The 19,677-nt window shown below is 41.9% G+C and overlaps 1 protein-coding gene across 10 annotated transcripts in view, besides 5 other annotated features; it reads left to right on the top strand.

The window, feature by feature from the left end:
- Nucleotides 1-19,677, top strand: part of DDC (dopa decarboxylase) — a 106,964-nt gene that overhangs the window by 61,483 nt on the left and 25,804 nt on the right. For 9 of the 10 annotated variants that reach the window (XM_005271745.5, NM_001082971.2, XM_047419932.1 and 6 more), the window contains 2 exons: nt 4,681-4,775; nt 8,506-8,573. In XM_005271745.5, coding sequence (XP_005271802.1) covers nt 4,681-4,775; nt 8,506-8,573 — 163 coding nt within the window. Of the gene's footprint in view, nt 1-4,680; nt 4,776-8,505; nt 8,574-10,917; nt 11,277-19,677 lie in introns of those variants that run through there. The other variant, NM_001242890.2, reaches the window with a different exon arrangement.
- Nucleotides 1,041-1,540: an enhancer, noted in NCBI's record as "H3K4me1 hESC enhancer chr7:50570081-50570580 (GRCh37/hg19 assembly coordinates)". NCBI's record gives its function as "activates a minimal SCP1, AML or CMV promoter by ChIP-STARR-seq in naive H9 embryonic stem cells {active_cell/tissue: H9 hESC(naive)}" and the evidence as "EXISTENCE:reporter gene assay evidence [ECO:0000049][PMID:30033119]".
- Nucleotides 1,041-2,042: a biological region, named in NCBI's record as "H3K4me1 hESC enhancers GRCh37_chr7:50569579-50570080 and GRCh37_chr7:50570081-50570580".
- Nucleotides 1,278-1,572: an enhancer, noted in NCBI's record as "tiled region #9793; HepG2 Activating non-DNase unmatched - State 10:DNaseD, and K562 Activating DNase unmatched - State 9:DNaseU". NCBI's record gives its function as "activates a minimal TATA promoter and a strong SV40 promoter by Sharpr-MPRA in HepG2 and K562 cells {active_cell/tissue: HepG2 | K562}" and the evidence as "EXISTENCE:reporter gene assay evidence [ECO:0000049][PMID:27701403]".
- Nucleotides 1,541-2,042: an enhancer, noted in NCBI's record as "H3K4me1 hESC enhancer chr7:50569579-50570080 (GRCh37/hg19 assembly coordinates)". NCBI's record gives its function as "activates a minimal SCP1, AML or CMV promoter by ChIP-STARR-seq in naive H9 embryonic stem cells {active_cell/tissue: H9 hESC(naive)}" and the evidence as "EXISTENCE:reporter gene assay evidence [ECO:0000049][PMID:30033119]".
- Nucleotides 5,915-7,379: an enhancer, noted in NCBI's record as "VISTA enhancer hs2059". NCBI's record gives its function as "enhancer in: heart[8/9]" and the evidence as "EXISTENCE:transgenic organism evidence [ECO:0001131][PMID:17130149]".

Raw genomic sequence — 19,677 nt, 5'->3', positions numbered from 1 at the left:
GTTGATCTCTTTCTTGTCGTTAACTTCATATTGTGATGGTTTGCCCAGCTCTTCTCGTATTTGCAATAACACAAACCTCATTAGCTTGAACTCCACAAACTCAGAATTTGGGCTAATTGGAAAAGAACTGAGCTTAGTTCTACCAACACACTATTTGTAAGAAAAAAAATCCGAGCAATATAGAAGTTATGTAAAATTGCAGGTTATGTTGGCCCTGTTGAGGAGAATAAACTCTTCAAAATCTTAGAGTAACCACCTTCATATGTGGGTCGTGCATACACCTGATATGAGAATTGTCCACACTTGAATTTAATTCTTTGGTATATCCCTTTTTCACCTTTTTTTGGAATTACTGAATGCAGTTAAGAAAATTGCTGAAGGTAGTTTAGCAAATCAACACAATGAAACTGGATTTCGCCAAGGAATAATCTGTGCTTCAGATGTTTTCCTGGTCACTCTCACCTCCTCCCTTCCTCATTCAGAGATCCTAGGTTTTCTCATTGAGACTAGGATGCTGTGTTTTCAAAAGGTGAATGTGAATGAGCAGCTCTGTTTCTAGAGTTTCACCTTTGACATGTAGCTCTGGGAACTCAGCAGGTCTTGAAGCTGCTTCTGTGGACAGAAGAACCCTCGTAGGGCAGGGACACTGGCTCAGGGGGCTCCCCCTTTCTCTGTCCCTCTAGGATGGGAATGTTCTGACCGCTCGGCTGTGAGTGGAGCTGCCCAAGTGGGGCCTTCAGATCACATACCTGTGGCCTGTGCCAGATCCCACAACAGCTACCAGGGAATTGGCTTCCTCCTTAGTCTGCACAAGCCAAGCACAGTTCTCACCTCTCCTAACCCAAGAGTCACCCATAGTCCATACTCAGAGGAGTGGACCCTCCTCTCCTGGGCGTTGGCCTCCCTTCTTGGGGTCAGCAGCTGGGGAAGGCCGGTGCTGAAGGTGCAGGTGCCTTTGTGTGAGCTAGACATGAAATTGGTGACAAGGAAGCTAGGGTGCAGCCCAGGATCCACCCCTGAATCTTACATTCTGAGCTTCATTTATGCTGTCTGTAAAGTGAAGAGAAAAACCCCACTTGTGCTCATAAAATAACAAGATTTCCCCACACGATTATTCAGAGGATAAATTAATGCAGGGAAAATGCACCATCCCAAAGGTAGAGTGCATTGCTGCACAGCAAGGAATGCAGTGCTGGGAACTACTGGGAGGTGGGTGGCATAGACTTACCCGCTCTCACAGGGTTTATGCTCCACCGTTTATGCTCTGTGGCACACAGCTGTAAGAACAACTGGCGGGAAGTGGTCGTGCACAGCCCCGGGCTGGGGAGAAGGGATAGAACTGGCTGACTCAGGACTGCAGCCACAGCATTGGCCTCATCAGCTGCAAACCTTCATCAGCTCAGCCAAGCAACTTGGAGTCCTCTGACTCAGATGTCAGGCTAAGAACTGAATGTCCTGGCCAGTAGCTGGCTGATGTAATTCCCTAGGGCTATCGGATTTAAAGGGCCGAGGTCTTCTGCTGGATAGAGCCCACATGGCCTGCTGTCCCCTGGGCCAAGTGTGGGCTGCCCGCTGGACCATGGAGATGACAGCCAGCGTGTGTCACCTGCCAGTCACAGTCCCCTGGATGGATCCAGCTCAGGCCTTCCTGCTATCTGGGGCCCCCTCTTCTTTGTAGAGGCTGGAGGCTGTGCACAGAGCTTGATTTATGATTTGTTTGGTTTGAAACACTGAGGTTGCTTTTGGGGTTGTGCAGAAGGAGCTGACATGGGTGAATGCCAAAACCCTTTCATCCATTGGCAGAATGCATAGGGGAGGTCAGTTTTGACAATTCCTTTTTTTTTCTTTATTTTTGAGATGGAGTCTTGCTCTGTGGCCCAGGCTGGAGTGGCACAATCTCAGCTCACTGCAACATCTGCCTCCTGGGTTCAAGTGATTCTCCTGCCTCAGCTTTCTGAGTAGCTGGGATCACAGGCACATGCCATCATGCCTGGCTAATTTTTGTATTTTTATTAGAGATGGGGTTTCACCATATTGGCCAGGCTGGTCTCAGACTCCTGACCTCAGATGATATGCCCGCCTCAGCCTCCCAGTGTGATGGAATTACAGGCGTAACCCACTGTGTCCGGCCAACATTTCCATTTTTATTGATGGTGTTATATTACTAACTGTTGGTGGTACCTTAACAATTAAGTCAGCACCCTTTTACCTACTTTCCCTCTCCTGCTACCATTTTCCTATCACCAGATATTTAGCATTCTCCAACTCCAAGCGGGACTGTTCTGAGATCCTGAGCTGACCTTATTCTATATATGATTAGAATAATCTAACATAATTCAGATAAGTTATTCACCCACCATCATTTGACAAAGAAAACAAATCAGAAGATGGTTTTCTTCCAATTGCTGCCTTAGGAAAGACATTTTCTTTTTATTGCATTTGAAATGATTTGCCAGTGAGGGTATTCAGATTGGTCTGCTTGGATGGATCAGTTGTCTGGCAGGTTTTACTGAGAAGATGGAATACAAAAAGTGGATAGTTGAAGTCAGTTAGGTTGCCGATGGGGAAGTGGGGAAACTGAGGACGAGGGTATGGGCTGAGTTGGGGAGGCCATCTCAAGGTGTGAGGAAGGGAATAGCACAGGGCAGGCAGCCAAAGCTGCATCCTGAGGTGCCAGCATAACTGAGAGAGGACGTGCAGCTGGAGGGGCAGCCAGGCCTGCCGCAAGTTCCTGGGAAGTCTCAGAAGGAAAGAGTCACTGACAGCAGGAAGCTGGAGGGGTGTGAGCCTGTCCCATCCCTCCCCACTGAGGCAGCCTTGCCTCAGGGCTAGGTGTGCCCCTGGTGCATGCAACTTCTCAAGCTCTGGCCGAGGGTCTCTGTGTCTGCCTGGTTCCTAGATGGGCCGTGCTATGCAGTGTGTGCTGTTAGTGGATCACATATGAGATGCAGAATGCAGAATGCAGAGGCATGCCCACAGCTCCATGCATCCCCATGGAAACCAGAGAAGCCCTTCAGAGTCCACTTCCTTTAGGGGTCTGTAAGTTCCCTTCTGCAGGAGTTGTAGGCCAACTGCAAGCTTAGAGAGAACACAGTCCTCCACAAAGCTGATAAAAGACATAAGGCGTTTCAAAGCTTTGACTCAGTTTAATCATCAGGATGAAAGCCCTCAGTTGGATTAAGGTCAAGTGTGTCCTGCGGACACGGATATCCACCCCAGGGCATGGGAGGCCAAAGGTCACAGAGCAGTGTGGACCTGAACCGAGGCTTAGGGGCTCATCACTTCCCCCAGAATCAGTCTCACCTGGTGCTTGCATAACCCCAGATGGATGCAGCAGTGAGCCAGGAAGAGCACAAGGCCTTAGGATTTGCAGAGTTTCTCCCTGAGGAGTCACTCAGTAATCATGGGATGTCCATGCCTGTAGCTCAGATCAGCGGTAAGGTTGAGAAAAACCTCAGATCACATCATAAGATAGGTGTAAATTTGAAGCTTGCTGTAGTCTGAACGTTTGTGTCCCCCGCAAAGCCCATTTGCTGAAATTCTAACCTAAGGTGATGGTATTGGAGGTGGGGCCTTCCAGTGGTAATGAGGTCAGCACAGTGGAGCCCTCCTGATTGGAACTGTGACTAATTAGTGCCCCTGAGAGTCTCACGCCTCATTGCACAATGAGCACCATGGATGGTGAGTGAACGGTGAATCCATGGATCCCTACAAATGCATATGCTGACCCTGACACCTACCCCACGGTACCCTGACACTGGTATCCACCCTGTGAGGTGAGGGTGGCTCGCGCCCTCTCTGTGGTCCTTCACCCTTCAACTCTTACTCTCCTGGGTGCCTAGGGCTGAGAGGCAGCAACCATGGAAGCCACATTTATTTCTCCCCTACTCAGTGCTGGGGTCCTGGCAAGCACATTGTAAATATTCCCTTGCTCATCCCTTGGGCCTATGGGTACTATTTCATCTCCATCTTCCTGGGAGGAGAGTGAGGCTTGGAGAAGTAGATAGGGCCCCTTGGCTGGGGAGCAACTGGAAGCAGGAGTTGAGCCCAGATCTGTCAAAATTGAGGGAGCATGCTACATCTGTGGCTCTCCCAGCTCCTGAATGAGGCAGCCCCTGCCCACAAGGCTGCTATGCATGGTTGGAAAACAGAACCCTGTTCATGAAGAAAGCAGGGGATGGTCTAAGATGGTGTAAAGTAAAGAACTTCACCTGGTGGTGGGGATGGAGTGGGGCAGGTAGAGGTCAGCGTGGACTGTGTGCAGACCTCCCCTTGGATGATGTTTGGGGGAGGACTTGAGAATGGATTAGCAAAGGGAACCAGGAAGGGAATTCCAGGTGGGTGGAAAGGGTGGTGTCACTGGAGAGAAATGCAGGTGAGTAACATGAGGCTGTCACACGATGGTCCCTTGGAGTTACACTTAGCCGCCAGGGTCAGGAGAGAAAACCAAGTGGTGCAGTGGCTTCCATTTTCCCTGGTGTGTCTGGGGCCAGCAGCACACACACTGCCCTCAGCTTTAGACCCTTTGAATGAGGGGGCCTTTTGGGGATTCAGCCATTAGTTCAGCAAATACTGTTGGCATGCTCTACCCAAGAAGGTGCTCAGACAGGGCGAGGTCAGCTGGCAGGCTCCGTGGTGAGGCATCCATCTGGGGACTCACAAGTTGATTCTGAACTTTAGGCAACAAGGAAGACATATGGCTGCACGTTGATGCAGCCTACGCAGGCAGTGCATTCATCTGCCCTGAGTTCCGGCACCTTCTGAATGGAGTGGAGGTAGGTGCACCCTTCGCTCTCCCTAAGGCTGTTTTCACAGTGCTCTGTTATTGACCTCTCCCTTCATGAGGAGCTGACGTCCAGTCTCTTGCTATTGAGGTTTGTTTCAGCCAATTATGTTTGAACCAATTCCGACTTCCTCAGAATAGGGGCTGAGAGCCTTCCCCAGCCATACAGCCTGTCCTCCTGAAATACTCCTGACACTTACAGTTCCATTTCAATCTACACAAATCCCAAACAGAAAGAATAAATGTTAGCTTATAAAACTGTGGGAAAGTAGGAACAAAATAAAATCTTAATGAACTTAAACTCAAAAGAGTAATTTAAAATACCAACCCGCAATTCCATACAATCTGGTTCAATATGACAGTCATGTTCTGCCCATACATCTGAACATGATATTCACTTTAACCAATATTGAACGAGAAGCTACCAATGCATTTAAATGCCCCTAGGCAGTCTTCTGGAAATTGTAAAGCATGATCTTTAATGCTAAGTGAAATGCCTGCTTCTTTTGAGAAGTAGCAATCAAAATTATTGACCAGCACTCCGCTTCTCCAAAAAGCAACAGAATGTAAATTGGTACAGACTTAACACAAAAAAATGACCTTATTGATATACTGTGGTGTGTTATTTCAGACTCAAGCGGGATTTCATTGTTGGTGGTGGCTCATAGGGTAGGAAGTCTCTTCTCCCCAAGAACTCAGCTTTGAATGCCATAGAGGGTCCTGAGAGGCAGTCTTTGGCAGTGTTTCCAAGAGAAGGAGGTAGCAAAGCAGGGGAGCTGTGGCACTGGCCAAGAAAGAAATGCTTTCTGCCAAGGGGCAGGAGGTGTCGTGAGACCTCACCCATGTGTGATGGCAGATGAAGGGCACAGTCCTCTGCATTAGACTCCTTGGTTTGAATCCTAGATTTATCCTTAAGACTAGCTGTGTACCCTTGGGCGAGTTAGATATCCTCCCTATCCTCCAGAAAATAGATTTCATAAGAATACATCCGGTGTGGGATTGTCGCCAGGAGTAGATGAGTTAATCATGTTTTAAGGGCTTAAAAACAGTGCCTGGCAGACAGTAAATACTGAAATTGCATTAGGTGCTTTTGTGATTTTCTACTACGTCTTAGAAAAACTTTCCCTTGACAGCTTCCTCTGCTTGCATGTCAGGTTTGCTAATCACTATTCTAATTACAACTTTGAATTCTCATAATGCTGTAATACCAGAAAAGAGGGTACCAGAGGTATAGAATACAAATGTCCCCATCTTTGGAAAGAATAATCCTCTTACTACTAATCAATGAAGTAGTATTCTGGTTTATGTCTGCATCACAATCATTCACTCATTCATTCAATAATTACTTGTTGAGTACTTAATACAACCTAGGACTTACATGATGGATCCTTGGGGGTAAATGGAGCTTCCAAAGACCTATGTACGCACTGGAGAGAGGGTATAGTATATGAGAAGTTCTCATAATGTGATGCCAGTACCCAGCTGATATAGTTCATTGCCGGTAGCTAGTTTGGTGCGTGTTTGGTGCTGGGAAACGAAGAGTAAATCTCTGTATCATATAAATGCATGGCATGATGGAGATAATCTCCATTATTTGAAACATCTGTCCTGGGACAGTTTCAAGGGAGGAAGGGCTAAGCAGTCCTCTGGGATTTATGTGCCCTCCCCACGGCTGGCCTGAGCTTGATGCTCTTTTCTAACTCTGGGTATCAGGTTTAGGGTTCGTGATCTTTTCCTACCACTGCTCTTCTTTTCCCCAAGAACTGACAACTTGAGGTTTCATCTTTCATAGAAGGGTGCCTCATTGTCAGACCACCACAGCAATGGGCTTTCCAGCCAGATCCTATCAGCAACAGACAGGATTTCATGCTGTACAATGAGTCACTGCCATTTTTCTTGCATTATTGCTCCCGACTCTTTCCATGCCCAGCTGAGGGCTGTGCGTCTCAGTGGGGCAGATAAGGAGGCTGCAATATCCTGTTGTGGCCCTGCCCTTGGAGATAAGAGCCTTTCTCTCCGGTTGGCAGGAGGAAAATATCACTGCTGGGTAATGAGAGAAGTTTAAACAGATCAGCCCCATAGGAGGGAACTCATAAGACTCCTAGCAAACAGAGCTCCTCTTTAACCTTTTGTCTCCTTTTATCAACAAATGAAACTTGCTGTAATTTCCTGTCCTTTTCTCAAAATTACTTTTATTAAAACCTAGAAGGAAATGAACCTGGGTCTCCAGAGCAGTGGAAAGTTGTCATCCACCAACCAAATGCCTCCCAGGACGCCCCCCAGGTCCCTCAAGCTTCTGCTGCCTCCTCGGTGCACATCCCTGAAACCAAGTAGACAGGAGGTGCCCTAGGGCCTTGGGAAGACTGAAAAGTTTCCCAGTAGGAGAGTCGGCCAGACTGGCGCCTCACTGCAACAGCCACCTTTATTTCGGTATCAATTATGAATCCAGCCGCATGGCCAAATCCCTGGCCATTAAGGTGGACCCTGTTCCTGTTCACCAGTCAGGTGATAAACCAGGACATGCATTTGAAAAAGAAAGCACCATTTATGACAGCTCAGGGAAAATGCAGAGTGTCCTCCTCTGCCACTCTTGGTGGTTTAAACCTCTTATTTTCTCCTTGAAAATAAGGTAGCCCCTAACACTGATGCATGCAGCCAGAGCCGGTTGTTCACAGTTTTTACCCAGGATCTTCCAGCTACGGGAGCCTGTAGCTGTTAGGAATACAATGAACTTTAAAAATAAAGGAGCTGGTCGGGGTGCAGTGGCTCACACCTGTAATCCCAGTACTTTGGGAGGCTGAGGCAAGAGGACGGCTTAAGCCCAAGAGTTCGAGATCAGCCTGGGCAACGTAATGAGACACACTGTCTCTACAAACAAAATTTTAAAAATTAGCTGTGTGTGGTGGCACACGCCTGTAGTCCCAGCTACTTAGGAAGCTAAGGCAGGAGGATCACTTGAGCTTGGGAGGTTGAGGCTGCAGTGAGCTGTGTTCATGTCCAGCCTGGGCAACAAAGTAAGACCCTGTCGCTCAAAAAAAAAAAAAGAGAGAGAAGCATTTAGGTAAATGAGGAGAATTGTTGATATGTTACAGCAATGCTGGCAAAAGAACCCATCAATTAAATGAAAACTGGGTTTACCCCTATCTACTGTAGATTAGTAATAAAATTTCCTCTTTCCCACTGTTTATCATGACACGTGTAGTCTGAGAACTTTGCTAGCTCAGCAAGTGGAAGGAACTTCAAGCATGAAGTATTCCACAGGCCAAATCAGTACAATTCCTGTACGTTGTGCTTGTGAAGGACAATTCTGATTTTTCCAAATATTCCAGTAATTTAAAATATAATATGGATACATTTTATGTCACATTAGATTATGTAAATTTGAAAATGCTTTTCATTTGGGAATATAAACTTTTAATTTTAAAATTCTTGTTCCATTTTATGAGAGTATAATCTAGATATAGCAAAACATACAAATCAACTCTAAATACATATACCCACCCCCATGTACTTACCACCCAGATCAAGAGTAGAACAATTCCAGCACTCCAGAAGACTCCCCTACCCACTACAAGTTACTACTCCCCTGGGCAACCCTACCTGGCCCCTACCACTGTGGATTAGTTGTGCCATAAACTTTTATTATCATGTATGGGGTCTTCTTTATAATTAAACATTTATAAAGAAAATGTTTTCTTTTTCTTACTCTTGTTCTTTGGCAGTTTGCAGATTCATTCAACTTTAATCCCCACAAATGGCTATTGGTGAATTTTGACTGTTCTGCCATGTGGTAAGTTTCCCTGCTCACAGATGTCAGTTGCCTGTCCGAGGTGACAGTGAAAGAAGCTGGCAGGGAAGATGCCAGAGCCAAAGGGGTGCAATAGTCACTTAGCTCACTGCTTGCTGCCTTTTCTGAACCCTTGATGGAATTATTGCTAATTCTTAGCCTCACTGGAAACTTTTATCTAGGGAATATCATTGCAACATACTGGCATAAGAAATGAGAAGCCTAAAAAGGACAATTTTTTATTTGATTTATCCAGCATTGACAGAAAACAAATGCAAGTACACACTTCTAATTCAGTAGCTTGTGTTTTCATTCTTAGATTCGTAACCAGTCTTAGTGTAATGCTAAGTTTAAGCAATCTGAGTCCAAATGCTTAAAAGTATTTGCTAAGGCCGGGCACAGTGGCTCACACCTGTAATCCCAGCCCTTTGGGAGGCCGAGGCGGGTGGATCACCTGAGGTCCGGAGTTCAAGACCAGCCTGGCCAACATGGTAAAACCCCGTGTCTACTAAAAATACAAAAAATTAGCTGGGTGTGGTAGTGCATGCCTGTAATCCCAGCTACTCAGGAGGCTGAGGCAGGAGAATCGCTTGAACCTGGGAGGCAGAGGTTGCAGTGAGCCGAGATCATGCCACTGCAATCCAGCCTTGGCGACAAGACTCTGTCTCAAAAAAAAAAGTATTCGCGAAAGAAAAATAATAGTAACCATGTTTCCTAAGAATTTCCCTGGAAATTCTTTTCTTCCTCTCTTTTTTTTTTTTCGAGACAGTGTCTCACTCTGTCGCCCGGGTTGGAGTGCAGTGGTGCGATCTTGGCTCAAAATCTTTTCTTTCTTTCTTTCTTTTTTTTGAGACAGTGTCTCATTCTGTCGCCCAGGCTGGAGTGCAGTGGTGCAATCTTGGCTCACTGCAAGCTCCGCTTCCCAGGTTCATGCCATTCTCGTGCCTCAGCCTCCCGAGTAGCTGGGACAACAGGCGCCTACCACGCCCGGCTAATTTTTTGTATTTTTAGTAGAGACGAGGTTTCACCGTGTTAGGCAGGATGGTCTCGATCTCCTGACCTCATGATCCACCCTCCTCGGCCTCCCAAAATGCTGGGATTACAGGCGTAAGCCACGGTGCCTGGCCGGAAATTCTTAATAACAGCATGATAATACCTTGGTGATATTTAGAATAAGAAAAAGAACTAAAGCATTAAAGTGGGTGATATTACACCACCTACACAATGTTTAAAGAAATAATGATGATGGGCAGTGATACAGGGACACTAGAAACTAGTTTCTCTAAAGTTTTAAAGTAAGAAGTTGATTGATTGATCATAGGGCCAGGAGGATTTGCATGAATTTTGTACAGTATGCAAAACTGCAAAATTTTCCAAATATTCAGAAGGCTTTGCAAAATTGTTCAGTATGTAATTAAGTGAATAACTTTTCACTTTCCTCCTAAGCATGAGGAAAGCAGCTTTTATACAAAACAACTAATGTCAGCTCTCAAGGTTACCAAAATACCCGTTTGACCTTTTCCTGTTTTTTTTTTTAAGGCTAACCACATTTCTAGTCCTTTACTTGTATACAAATCAAATTATTTTTTGTCAGTCTTTTTCCCCAAACTTCTGCTATATAATTTTAAAACCAGTTGGTATGTGGGCATTTCAGACTTAATTTTGTCTGAAATAAGTATTTATGAAAGACATGGCCGTTATGAATGTGAGTATTCTTTTGTATTCTTGTGGTTGTGTTTTTCTGTTTCACCCAAGGTGGAACACAGTGAGGACAGTTTGCACCGTGTGCCAGAGGTCCCTTTATTCGAGGGGTAATTTTGATTGAAATGTAAATCCGCTCTGCTGAGGTTTTTGGTCAGTGGGGAAAATCCTCTAAGGTGGCTGGAGTTCGGAAGGACCAGGCAGAGCATCCACAGGCTCTGGCGGGAACAAGTGGCTCTCCCTACATGCTTTTGTTTTGCAAGGGGCAGGCGTCCTCAGATGCCTTCCACAAAGGAAGCCCTAGAACCACCCTTGAGCAGGGCAGGGCTGATGGGCTGTCCGGAGGAGGGGTTCTCGTGCGCCCTGAGGCCGTCCTCAATGCCTGGATAGAACAGTGATATCAGCAAGGCTGTTTAGTGACTGCGGATAGGTACATCCAGGCTCCCTTCTAAGTCCCTAACCTCTCGTAGCTCTCTGGACCCCCACGACAGCCCTGTGTTGAGGGACACAGACATTGCCACGCTCTCTTTACAGATGAGGAAACTGAAGCGGTCAGGGACCAGAAATATTTTGGGTCCCTAATCTTGGAGGCAAATATTGACACACGATAAGAAGGAGTGTAATGAATGCGGCGTCCTGCCCTCAGGTCCAGACAACCAGTGCGTATGTTAAGGCTGAAGAAAACCTGCTTAGTCAGTGCGGTGGTGAGAAGGAGTTGAGCCTTTCGGGACGTGGAGTGCCTGCCGCAGAGCTGATGCCCCGAGGCTGCCGCAGACGCTGCAGAGCTGATGCCAGCAAGTTGGCGGCTGTGCGCTCATCTCTCCCGGACAACTCTTCCCCGGCGCTCGGGGTTCAGTTCAGCCACCAGCCTGTGAGGGGAAATTTGACAAAGTGGAGGTGATGTAGGGAAGAGACACAGGACACACAGGGATGAGGCCAGGCCATTTGGAAAAGGCCATTTGGAAAATTTCCTTGTAGAAGGAATTAAACGTAAGCCCTAAGACACAAGAGAGGCCTGCGGTGTCTGGAAGTCTGCCACAAGAGAAGGGTGATGGGGTTAGTTCCCATCCTCTGGAGTGGGCGACAGTGGTGGGGCAGGGTGGTTGCAATACTTGAGGAACCTCTTACCTTCCTATGGGCTTGAAAGGCTACAAAATATGTTTTTAAATTGCAATAGAGAATGTGCTCTTTCTCTCCTGAGCCGGTGCGTTCTCGACAGAACAAGAGTCAAAGAATTTGGTGAGATGCTGTGTACCTGGAAAAATCAGATCTCTCCAAAACCCAAGGTTTTGTCCCATGACACTATAAAAATGGCATGAATGTTGATAGATGAAATCTGATCTTTGAAAGATTTGTGTTTTAACACAGAAATTGCTGATCTTTACTGTTTGGGGGCACTGTGCCTGCATTAGTTGGCTAGGGCTGGCTTAACAAAGTGCCATGGACAAGCGGCTTAAACAAGAGATGATTTATCTCAGTCCTAGAGGCCAGAGGTCTGAGATAAAGCCATCAGCAGGCTGGTTTCTTCTGAGGCTTCTCTCCTGGGCTTGCAGATGGCTGTCTTCTCCCTGTCCTCACATGGTCTTCCTTCTGTTTACCTGTGTCCAAATTTTCTCTTCTTATAAGGACACCAGTCACATTGGATTAGGGCCTGTTAACCAAAAAGTATCTGAGACAGGTCTCAATCAATTCAGATGTTTTATTTTGCTAAGCTTAGGGACATTCCTGGAAGAATAAACATGGAATCACAGAAACAGGGTGTGCTTTGTGCCTTTCCCCAAAGATGATTTTGAGGCCGGCAGTATTTAAAGGGGAGGGCAAGCTGGAGGGGAAAGAGGGAGGGAATGGTCACATTACTGAATCCACGTGTTGTGAGAGAAAAGGAGCAGGTAGAGGAATAGTCAATGATATATTTGTCTCACGCCCAGTAAATCAGCTCTTTATATAAGATAAGGTGAGCATAGAGTAGCTACCTGTAGAGATATTTAACCTTTTATCTGTAGCTTTCTGCTTAGGAACAAAAGGAAGGGTATCTTCTTGCATGAAAGCATCCAGCTTATTTTTTTTCCTTTGGCATAGTAAATTGAGGCACCAAGTTTTTATTTTCCGTTCACATTTCTTCCCCTCCCCTTTTAAAAAAAGTCTTCAGAAAATGCATTTTAGAAGAAAATGCGTCTCTAGTCTTGGGGTTTTGTCTGGTCTCTTGTGACTAAGACAGTTTATTTCTAGACAGGTCCCACGTGGTTAGGAAAGCTCATTTTTAGCAGGTTGTAAAGTCTCATGACCCATGAAGGAAAAAAATAGGTGGAGGAAGAGAGAGAGAAACAAACAAACAAACAAACAAAAATAAAGGGAGAACAATCCTGGAAAACTGACATAAACCGTATTACTCTGAAGTCCCTATGTCAGTAGGCAGGTATGAAAGTGATTTACGTATATAAATAGGTTCCTGTTATTTTCTTCCAAAGTTGACGTTGTCTAGCTTCAGTTTACAGGGCTTTAAGAAAAGCATAGCTTAATATTTAGTGATTTCAAATCACGATTAAAAAGGAAAAGAAAGAAGGAAAAAAAACTGACAACATTATTTTCCAGAATTGTAGCCAGGAAAAATTTTAGAATTCAGCCCAAATTGTAGAAAATAATAAAAACAGACAAACATTAGGCAAGGCTAGACTCTAATTACAGATGTACTATAGTTTATTTTGAAACATAATTTTTCTCTTTCCAGTTCCCCAATTGTATTAAATACAAGATTATAATAGGGCCAATTTATTTGTAAAATAAGTTTTAGTTCTATTATGATTGGCTTGATTATTTGGATAAAGTGCAGCAAGAATAATCATTTGCCATATAGGTTTGCTCTCTCGCTCTTTTTGTTGTTGTTGTTTTTAAATTGGTTTTGTTGGAACCTTTTCATAAAGAATCTAAGATTTAGAGCTTTTGTTGTTGTTGTTGTTGTTGTTGAGACAGAGCCTTGCTCTGTTGTCCAGGCTGGAGTGCAGTGGCATGATCTCGGCTCAGTGGCATGATCTCAGCTCACTGCAACCTCCACCTCCCAGGTTCAAGCGAGTCTCCTGCCTCAGCCTCCTGAGCAGCTGGGACTACAGGAGCGTGCCACCACGCCTGCCTAATTTTTTGTATTTTTAGTAGAGATGGAGTTTCACCATGTTAGCCAGGATGATCTCGATCTCCTGACCTCATGATCCACCCACCTCAGCCTCCCAAAGTGCTGAAATTACAGGCATGGGCCACTGTGCCCGGCTGATTTAGACCTTTTTAAAAGCCTCAGTCCCAGTCAAGGATTTTTCTGTGCCTATAGATACCTGTATGAATTGGTTGAATTTTTCTATTTTCAAGGTCCCAAGAGAACTTGAGGTTCCTAGCCCTGTTAGAAAGTGACATTTTTTACTTACCATAGGTCAGGACCCTGTAAAGGACAAGGTATGGGGCCAGTTTTTCTAAGAGGCTTTTACTAGCTCTGTAGGTCACCCTTATTTTCTCAAGGCAATCTGAAAATGTCATTCCAATCAAAGCCTTGGTAAAATAACCAATGACAGAACAGGATCACACAGAGGCCATTGTAAAATCAGTCATTCATTTAGCCAAAGCGATAACTCAAAGATTTCACAACCTTTATTCTTTGAGAGAAGAGACTTACTTTTCTAAACAATAAACTCTAATAAAGACAGTATGAGGCCAATTAAATCTCTCTCAAATTTTATAAACAAATCTATTAAATTTTAATCATCTTGACCAAAATATATAATTTCCATAAATCATTTTATAACCTTTTATAATTTTTTAATTAAAGAATGGGTTAATGTCCCAAGAAAACCTTGTTAAACTGGCATAGGGACACAGATGCTGGTCTTGCATCAGTGTACCTTTGATATTAGTGTTTAATTTATAGAGAAACTAAGCTAATTTTATCTGTCAATATTAGCTCTTCCAATCTATGTGTCCACCTCTTCTGTGATACTCTGATAGTCCCTGGGCCTAGAGGGGTTGAATAGTTTTAATTTCTGGCCCTGTGTCTCTTGAACACAGTTTATTTTGATTGTCATCTTCTCCTGGGTCTGAAGATGAGGCTTTTAACTGCTGTCAGTGTTTAAGATTTAGCTGGACTTGGTATCTTTTTTAGACCCAGGAGTCAAAGTCCTGTAATAGTACAATGACTTTAGAAGCAATACAGAAAGTTATATGGATATAATAACCTTAATTTTTTAAATCTCAGTTTTCGTAGGACTTTAATTAGTTAGACATAGGAAGAGTGCATCCTGTGTTATAAGTTTTCTATTTCATAGAAGAATTTAGAGAATAATATAGGAAGAAAGCATTTGCTTTAGGCTGCGTGTGGTGGCTCATGCCTGTAATCCCAGCACTTTGGGAGGCCGAGGTGGGAGGATTGCTTGAGGTCAGGACTTCGAGACCAGCCTGGCCAACATGGTGAGACCTTATCTCTACTACAAATACAAAAATTAGCCAGGTGTGGTGGCACGTGTCTGTAATCCCAGCTATCCTGGAGGCTGAGGCACAAGAATTGCTGGAACCTGGGAGGCAGAGGCTGCAGTGAGCTGAGATGGTGCCACTGCACTCCAGCCTGGGTGACAGAGCAAGACTCCATCTCAAAAACAAACAAACAAACAAGCAAACAAAGAAAACCATTCAGTTTAGATCTTTAAGTTAAGATATATTTTTTAATTAGGCCACAACATCAGTCAGAACCAGAGGGGAAAAAGTTAAAGGAGCTGATAAAAAGTTGAAAGAGTTACTATCTCGGGCCCTCTTGAAGGGGAGAGAAAGCTGAAAACAGCGAGATGAAATTAAAGTTGAAATTTTGGTTTATGAAAATTAAAATGTCTTGTAATTTTATTAAGAATAAACCAGTACCTTAAGAAAATTTAGTTGTTCTAACAATTTTTTTAGTTTATTAGTGTATTTTTAATATCAAAGCCCAATTTCTAGAAAGACTATTATAAATAATTTTCTTTTAATTATGGCCAACTTGATCACATAAATATTTTTTCATAAATTCTCTTTTTATAAACCTTATTATGACTTACACAAACCATTTACTGAATACTTGGAGTTTCTGTTTTATCCCAAACATCCTCTTTTTTAAATAACCAGTGATTTTATTTTAGGACAAAAAATATATCACACAACATTTTTGTCATGTAAAATTGTTTTCCTTTTAATCTTTCTTACCAAAAATACCACTTAATATTTATAACTTTTTTTGCATCTCTTTTATTTACTGTTTCCTTTTACCTTGTTTTAGAAACGACCTTTAAGTAATCTTTGAATTAGACAAAAATTATTTCTTTTTAATAAGAAAACATTGTTTTTCAGAAAAACATTTTCCTATATTTTTTTTTAAATTGGAAATGACCCAGACATTTAAGCAATATCTATTATTTTGTTTAATGTTACTTTAGATTCTAAATTATATGTCGTTTTTTAACAAGCATTTATTCTATTATATTTATCTAATTAATTTTTTAATAGATTACTTATAAAAACTGATGGTCATCATTTAAAGTTATTTCCCTGCTAACCAATTTTATAGCCTGCGAATTTCAGGTGTTTACCTATGTAAAAAACTTAAGGTTAAATAAATGTATTTGTTTTTTCTTTTTGCCAAATAATTCAGTATTAACTGTTTGCTATTAAACCAACAATATTAAATGCCTTACTTACCAAAAGTTACACAAAGATAATTCTCTTTTGGGCTGCATTTATGGCTTTATAACCCTCATTCCAAATATTGACACCTTATAATATTTAGCAAACATAAATATAAAACTACTTGACCAATAAATCTAAACAATAATATGTGTTGACAGTACTTAAGACTTTCTAATTTTATTTGGCCAATAATTTTAAAGCCAGCTTATTTATTAAAAGTTAAGTCATGTGAACTTGAAAAGCATTTGGATTATTTACTAAATTTATGAGTACTCCTTTATTTTTAAGCCAATTTGGTACCTTGTGGCCACAACACATAACAAAATGCATGTATGTATACATAAACACACCTAAGCACACATAAACAGTCATGCAAATAAAGATCCTATAGCTTTTACTTCAGAACTCTAGCCATGATATATCAATACAGACTCATCAGTTTACAAAAAAAAAGATTAAATAGAAACAGTGGTTTTTATCTCAACACCAGTAGAAAGGTCCTCTAAACTAGAAAAATACATTTTCTTAAGCAAAAAACACATCCTCGCGTGTTTTATAAACTTTACCAAAAACACATCCTACGATACACTACTAACCCTAATTCTCCCTGAAAAATCAAGGATTACTTAATTTAATATAATATGACTTTAAGTGTTCAAATTACTGGGGACAGTTTTGAGACTAACTTTACCAAATTAATCTTACCAAAGATTACTAAAACTATATGAACTGAAAAGCCTCTGAGCTAGTTTCTATTAGTCTGATAAAAACTTACTTTTCTTTAGGCCAATTAATTAGAACTCTTTCATATAATTGGTAGCAAAATATTATTTCCACATGACATATCTGAACATATAGACATAACAGACCCAGGCAGAGGCAGATCTTATATATTTAAAATTTTTCATTTGCCTGTTTTCAAAAATGTTCTTTTTCCTACTTAAACTATTAAAGTTGTCTGGAGGGAAAGAGGGAGGGTATGGTAATCCACGTGTTGCAAGAGAAAAGGAGCAGGCAGGGGAATAGTCAATTATGTATTCATCTCCCACTCAGTAAAATAGCACTTTACAACAGATAAGATGAACTTAGAGTAGTTACCAGTGGAGATATTTAACCTTTTAGCTGTAGCTCTCTACTTAGGAACAAAAGGAAAGGCAACTCCTTGCATGACTTAGCTTTAAGCTTAATTTTTCCTTTTGGCAGAGTGAATTGGGGTGTCAGGTTTTTATTTGCCTTTCAAAGTCCCCACCATATGACCTCATTTTACTAAATCACCTCTTAAAGGCCTTATCTTCAAATACAGTCAGTCATATTCTGAGGTCCTGGGAGGTGGAGCTTCAACATGTGAATGAGGAGGAAGGGGGACATAATTTGGTCCATAACAGCGCTCACAAGAAATCACTAGTTAAAGCCATAAGCCTCATATCTAAGGATTTAAACCAGGTCAGCTTATTTTAAACTCCATAATCTTAATGATCATCTACTTACTGATTTGTTTATTTGATAGCTATGAAACTTATATTTTCATTTGATCTCACTATACCCAAACACCCACATCCCTGTTTTTTCCTCATTTTCTTACCACCAAAAACTTATTTTCTTCATTCCACAGTGGATAGTCTTCACATTGCCTTGCTGACACAGTGGCCTGTGCTGTATCTGATAGTATGCAAACCAAGAGTGCATGCACGCAAAGCAACATACGTTTTACAAATACAAATACAAACAAAAAGATGCACATAGAACCCACTGGGATCACTTCTTATGGATATAGAAGCTGGAGAATGAGAGCTGTTTTTTGGTGTAAATGAGCCAAAATCAGGGTCACTTTTGTTCAAGCTGTTATTGACTTGGTTTTCACTGTAAACACTGGAAGTAGTCTCGAATTTTAGCCCAGGATGTACAGCCTCAGAGCAAAAGACAAGTAGGTGGAACACAGCATCCCTTCCTCTAGACACCGTTACATTAAAATGGCAATCATTACAAGTACAGCAAGTATACTTCATAATGAATTCATTATTCTGTTCATAAGCTTTTTAGGGACTATATTATTATCCCATCTAAGAGGCAGGATCCACTGATCATGCTTGGTCGAGGTTGGCTTCCCCTGCCTGTTTGCGAATGGTGCCTTGTAACGTGGAGACAGGGAGTGGGGAGAGTGAGGGCTGAGAATCTCTACTCAGAGGCTTTTTCACACTGTCCAGATATCATGAAATAAAAATAAATATTTTGACAGTCTAAGAGAAGATTACAGTAACGTGATCTACCTTAACACAATAGAACACAGATAATAAGGACACTTGTAAGAACCAGAATTCACAAAAGGACAAATATTCCTCTAGATTCCTAAGAGTTTAAACTAAGCAAAAAAATCCTAAGTGGTGAATTTTTAAAGTGTCTTTTAAAATTTCACTAATTCAGTAAACAACATATAAATGGATTTTTTATTGCTTTCACTGGTTTCTTTGTATTCTTTAAAATTAGAAGTGTTTCTCTTTTGTTTAATGAAATTTTACTAATGGTTAGTCCATAATTTAACATAAACACTTTGGTTGTACTCTTTAAATACTGAAATAGACAAAATAATTGAAGTTTCTGAAACTGGCAATCATTATAAGCACAGTAAATACATTTTATAATGAAATAATTATTCTGTTCATAAGCTTCTTATTGTTCATTTGATATTCTGAATCTTTTATCTGTAAATGTGAGCCATTCTGTCCAGAGCTTATTGCCTCTTTAATATCAGATCTCCAAAGAAAGACTCAAATTCCATACACACGAAAGGCATATATTATCCACATTTAAAAGATGGCCTGTTTTTTTTTCCCAAAATGTTAAATTTTGCCACAAATTATTTTATAGTGTTTGTACACTTCTGTTGCATTGGGAGGTTTTTAAAAATTCTATTTCTCTGAAACAGTTTTAATCATTCTAGTAATCGTTGAGACTTGATTCTAGAACTTGTTTTAAAAGTCTTAGTGGATAGTTTTCTATTTATCTATTTGGATTCTTTGCACTTAGATCTGGGAACCCTTTATTATCTTGAATTTTTTATGGATGTTATTGGGACCAGGAGGTCATGTGAGTGCTCATTCAGTGAGCACTATGTAGTGTTGTAGATTTTTTAAAAAAGAAAACGTAAGGAGCCAGGCTTTCAACCCAACACAAGGGTCCTTTTCCTGATCCCCTAGGAATGTGTCTGGTTACAGAGAGAGGCTTTCCTCACCAAAAGTCTCATGCAGGTGAGGTCACCATGTGAGGTGACTTTGGTGCCACAAAAGCATGTTTCTCTGTGTGTGTGTGTGCCCATGTATGTCCTCAAGTACACATACACATCTGTTTCCATAAAATTCTTTCTCTTTATAATATCCATTAAATCTTAACAAGAAATGCAAATTTAGTACCTAAATATTGAAGAGGCGACTACCACAGGCCCATTAGAAACATGGGCCAATGAATAAAGTATAATGGGAAGCTGCAAATACTGAGAATTGAACAAAAAGAAACATGCAACCAAACTTGCCACACACAGCTAAAGCAGCACCTACAAAACAGACATCAATTGAAAAGAGGAAAGCCAGAAAATCATAAGCTAAGTATCAAAATTAAGCTAGAAAGCAGCAACAAAATAAACCTCCAAAAAGTAAAAGGAAGAAAGCAATAAGAATTAAGAAATGTAACAAAATACACAAAAAAGACCCAACAGAGAGGATCG

This window comes from Homo sapiens, chromosome 7 (assembly GCF_000001405.40).
Source record: "Homo sapiens chromosome 7, GRCh38.p14 Primary Assembly".
NCBI classification, from domain to species: Eukaryota; Metazoa; Chordata; class Mammalia; order Primates; family Hominidae; genus Homo; species Homo sapiens.
The sequence above is the reverse complement of the archived record's forward strand: the minus strand, read 5'-3'. Positions and strand labels throughout refer to the sequence as shown.